Raw genomic sequence first — 6,135 nt, 5'->3', positions numbered from 1 at the left:
CATTAGAATCAATTACATTGCAATCCATTAAATTTGAGTCTGTTCTATTCCAGTCCTTTCCCATCCAAAATATTCCTTTTGATTCCAAGCCATTCGATTCCATTCCATACTATTGCATTCCATTTTATTTCATTCTCTTCGAACAAAATCCATTCGAGAACATTCATTTTGAGTTCATTCTATTTGAGTCCATTCCATTCGGGTCCATTACATTTGGGTCCATTCGCTTCCATTCCATTCCATTCCTTTCCATTCGATGCCATTCCATTGGGTTCTATTCCATTCGAATCTATTCCTTTCGAGTACATTCCATTCCATTCCATTCAATGCCATTACAATTGATTCTATTCCATTCGAATCCATTCAATTCCAATCCATTCCTTCCGATTCCATTCCATTCTATTCCTTTCCATTCCATTTCGTTCCATTCCAATCAATTCTTTTGCATTCCATTCGAGCTCATTCCACTACAGTCCATTGTATTCAAGTCCATTCCATTCCAGTCCTTTCCATTCCATTCCATTCCATTCAATATCTTTATTAAACTCTATTCCATTCTATTCATTTTGATTCCATTCAATTCCATTCCATTTGTTTCTATTCCTTTCGATTCCATTCCATTCGACTCCATTCCATTCGAGCCCATTCTGTTCCATTCCTATACGTTTCATTCCAATACTTTCGACATTTGAGTCCATTCTATTCCAGTCCTTTCCATTCTTGTCCACTCTATTGGATTCCATTCCATTCGATGCCATTCCATTCTTTTGCATTCCATTCGATTCCATTCTATTCGAATAAATTCCATTTGATACCATTCCTTTAGAGTCAATTTAATTTGAGTCCATTCCATTCTACTCCATTATATTTGGGTCCATTCCATTCCATTTCATTCCCTTCCATTCCAGTCGAAGCCATTTCATTTGATTCTATGTCATTCGAGTCCATTTTATTCCAGTCCATTCCATTCGAGTCAATACCATTCCATTCCATTCCATTCCATTTGATATATTTCCATTACACTCCCTTCCATTTTATTCCTTTCGATTCCATTCAATTCCATTCCATTCGATTCCATTCCATTCGTGTCCATTCCATTCGTGTCCATTTCATTGCATTCCATTCCACTCAATTTGATTACGTTCCATTCTATTGAAAGCAATTACATTGCAATCCATTATATTCCAGTCTGTTGTATTCCAGTCCATTCCATTCCGTTCCATTCCATTTCATTGCATTCCATTCGATTGCATTCCATACTATTGCATTACTTTTGATTCCATTCTATTCGAATAAATTCCATTCGAGGCCATACCTTTCTAATGCATCCTATATGATTCCGTTCCATTTGAGTCCATTACATTTGGGTTTATTCCATTCCATTCCATTCCATTCCATTCCGTTCCATTCCATTCCATTCCATGACATTCCATTTCATTCTTTTCCACTCAATTCCTTTCCATTCACATCCCTTCCACTACATTAAATTCCAATCCATTCGATGCCATTTAATTCAATTCTATGCCATTCGACTACATTCCATTCCATTCCGTTCCATCCAATTCCATTCCATTGCATTCCATTCCATTCCATTCCATTTCATTCCAATCCACTCCATTCCATTCGAGTCCATTCAAATCCAGTCAATTCCATTCGATTCCATTCCATTCCATTACATTACATTCATTATACTTCCATTACACTCCATAACATTCTATTCCTTTGGCATACATTCAATTCCATTCCATTCGATTCCATTCCTTTCGATTCCTTTAAAATCGATTACATTCCATTTGATTCCATTCCACTCGATTCCACTGTGTCAATTCCTTTGCATTCCATTCTATTACAGTCCATTGCATTCCATTGCATTATATTTGACGACATTCCATTCGATTCCATGCCATTAAAAACAGTTAGATTACTATCCATTATATTTGTGTACGTTCTATTCCATTCCATTCCATTCTTGTGCATTCCATTCGATTCCATTCCATTCGATTCCGTTGCATACTTTGAATTCCATTCCATTCCATTTTATTTGAAGAAATTCCATTCGAGACCATTCCTTTCGATTCCATTCTAGTAGAGCCCATTCCGTTCGGGTCCATTTGTGTCCCTTCCATTCCATTTCATTCCATTCCATTCTCATCCATTCGAGTCCATTCCATTCCATTCCATTCCATTCCATTCCATTCCATTCCATTCCATTCCATTCCACTGCATTCCATTCCAATCGATTCCATTCCATTCTATTCTATTCCATTCGACTCTATTACATTACATTTCATTCCATCCGATTCCGTTTTATTCTTCCCCTTTCCATTGCATTGATTCCATTCCATTCATTTCCATTCCATTCGAGTCCATTCCACTCCAGTCCATTCCATTCTAGTCCATTACATTCCTTTCAATTCCATTCCATATGTTTCCATCACACTCCATTAAATTCTTTTTCTTTCTATTTTTTCTATTCCACCCCATTAGATTCCATTTCTTTCTACCCCAATCCATTCAAGTCCTTTCCAATCCTTTCCATTCTGTTCCACTTGATTCCAATCCATTTGATTCCATTTTGTTCCAGTAGATTCCACTCGAATCGATTCCATTCCAGTACATTCCATTCGATTCCATTCCATTTGATTCCATTCCACTCGATTCCACTACCTTTCATTCCATTGCATTCCATTCTATTCTATTCCAATGCATTCCTTTCCATTCCATTCGATTGCATTCCATTGGATTTCATTCTATTCCAAACTATTTCTTTGCAATCCATTACATTCGAGTCAATTCTCCTGCAGTCCAGTCCATTAAGCTCCATTCCATTCGATTCCATTCCATTCGATTCCTTTCCACACTATTGCACTCCATTCTATTTGATTCTATTCGCGTGAATTCCACTAGAGTCCATTTCTTTTGATGCCGTTCTATTTAAGTGAATTCCATTTGAGTCCTTTACTTCTGAGTGCATTCCTTTCCATACTATTTCATGCCATTCCATTCTCTGTCATTCCATTCGATTCTATTCCATTTGTTTCCATTCCATTCCCTTTCATTCCTTTTGATGCCATTCCATTCGATTCTATTCCATTTGATAACATTCCATTCCATTCCGTTCCATACGATTCCATTCCATTCTATTCTTTTCCATTCTGTTTCATTCCATTCCATTCCATTCAGTTCCATTCCATTCGTTTACATTCCTTTTGAGTCCATTCCACTCCAGTCTACTGCATTTGAATCCATTCCACTCCAGTCCGTTCCGTTTGAGTCCATTAGATTCCAGTCTATTCCATTCGAGTGAATTCCATTCCAATCCATTGGATATATTTGCATTACAATCCATTGCATTCTATTCCTTTCGATTTCATTCAATTCCATTCCATTCGATTCCATTGCATTTGATTCCACACCTTTCAATTCCATTCCATTCTATTCCACTCCATTCCATTCCATTGCATTCCATTCTGTTCCATACGTTTGCACTGCATTCCATTCCTTTCCATTTCATTTCATTCCATTCGATTCCACTCCATTCGAATAAACTGCTTTGCAATCAATTACATTCGAGTCCATTCTATTCCTGTCCTTTCCATTCTGGTACATTCAATTTGATTCTACTCCATTGCATTCCATTACATACTATTTCAATCCATTCTTTTCCATTCTATTCGAATAAATTCCGCTTGATACCATTCCTTTTTGGTCCATTCTATGTGAGTCCATTCCATTCTTGTCCATTACATTTGGGCCCATTCCACTCCATTCCATTCCATTCCATGCCATTCCATTTGATTCAATTCCATTGGTGTCCATTCCATTCCATTCCATTCCATTCCATTCCATGCCATTCCATTTGAGTCCATTCCATTCCACTCCTTTCATTTCCATTACTTTCCATCCTATTCCATTCCATTCTATTTATTTCCATTACATTCCATTCCATATATTTCCATTCCATTCGAATCCATTCCACTCCATTCTAATCCATTTGAGTTCATTCCATTGTAGTCCATTCCATTTGAGTCCATTCCATTCCATTCCATTCGATATCATTCCATTAGATTCCATTCCATTCTATTCCTTTCGATTCCATTAAATAATATTCCATTTGATTCCATTCCATTCTATTCCATTCCATTCGACTTTTTTCCACTCGAGTCCATTCCATTCCATTCCATTCCGTTCCATTCTATTCCAATCCGTTCTATTCCATTTTGTTCCAGTCCGTTCCATTCGAGTACATTCAATTCCAGTTCACTCCAGTTGATTCCTTTCCATTCGATTATATTCCGTTCTATTCCATTCCACTCAATTCCACTCAGTTCCACTACATTGCATTCCATTATATTCCATTCCATTGCTTTCCATTTCACTACTTTTGATTTCATTCCATTCGATTCCATTCCATTCGAATCTAGTATGCAGCAGTCCATTATGTTCAAGTCCTATCTATTCCAGTCCATTCCGTTCAGGTCGATTGCATTCGTTTCCATTCCATTCGATTAAATTCCATTCGACACCATTCCTTTCAAGTCCATTCTATTTGAGTCCATTCCATTTGAGCCCATTACATTTGGGTCCATTCCATTCCATTCCATTCTTTCCTTTACATTCTATTCTATTCCATTCTATTCCATTTCATTCGAGACTATTCCATTCCATTCCATTCCATTCCATTCCATTCCATTCCATTCCATTCTATTCGATGTCATTCCAATGAATTTGATTCTATTCAACTCCATTTCATTCCATTCCGTTATATGCAATTCCATTTCATTCTATGCCTTTCCTTTCCATTCTAATTCATTCCCTTGGTTTCCATTCCATTAGAGTACATTTCACTCCAGTCCATTACATTGGAATCCATTCCATTCCAGTCCATTCCTTTCCATTCAATTCCATTCGATATGTTTCAATTACACTCCATTCCATTGCATTCGTTTCAATTCCATTCAATTCCATTCCTTTCAATACCATTGCATTAGTTTCCATTACATTCGACTCCATTCCTTTTGAGTCGGTTCTATTCCTTTCAATTCCGTTCCTTTCCATTCCATTCCATTCCGTTCTACTCCAATCCGTTGTATTCCATTTTGTTCCTTTCCATTTCATTCGTGTCATTTCCATTCCATTCTATTTCATTCAATTCCATTTCATTCGCTTCCATTCCATTTGATTCTGTTGAATTTGATTCCATTCCATTCGATTTCATTTCACTCGATTCCACTCCGTTCCATTGCATTGCATTCCATTCTATTGCATTTTTTGCATACCATTCCATTCCATTTGATTACATTACTTTGAATTCCATTCCATTCAAATCAATTGCATTCCAATCCAGTACATTCGAGTTCATTCTATTCCATTCCATTCCATTCCAATCCATTCCATTCATTTCCTTTCAATTACATTCCATATTATTGCAGTCCATTCGATTTCTATTCGAATAAATTCCTTTCAAGACCTTTCCTTTTGAGTCCATTCCATATGAATCAATTCCATTAGAGCTCAGTACATTTGGGTTCATTTCATTCCATTCCATTCGAATCCATTCCATTCCATTTGATGCCATTCCATTCGATTTTATTCCATTCTACTCCTTTCCATTCCAATTGATTCCATTCCTTTATATTCCTTTCTATTACATCCCATTCCATTCCATTCCATTCCTTCCCATTCGTTAACGTTCCATTCGAGTCCATTCCACTCCAGTCCATTCCATTCAAATACATTCCATTCCATTCCACTCCATTCCATTCCCTTCTGTTCCATTCAGTTTGATTCCAATCCTTTTGATTCCTATTTGTTCCAGTCCATTCCATCGCTCTACCATCCGTTCGATTCCATTCCATTGGATTGCATTCCATACTATTTTATCCCATTCTTTTCTGTTCTATTCGAATAAATTCCATTTGAGACCATTTCTTTCGAGTCAATTCTATTTGAATCCATTGCATTTGAATCCTTTTCATTTGGGTATATTCCATTCCATTACATTCCATGATATTACATTCCATTTTATGCCATTCCGTTCGATTCGTTAACACTCGAGTCAATTCCATTCACATCCTTTCCATTCCATTATATTCCGTTATTTGCCATTACATTCGATTTTATTCCATTCCACTC

The sequence above is a fragment of the Homo sapiens genome, chromosome Y (genome assembly GCF_000001405.40).
Source record: "Homo sapiens chromosome Y, GRCh38.p14 Primary Assembly".
Lineage (NCBI taxonomy): Eukaryota > Metazoa > Chordata > Mammalia > Primates > Hominidae > Homo > Homo sapiens.
This window is presented reverse-complemented; position numbering follows the sequence as displayed.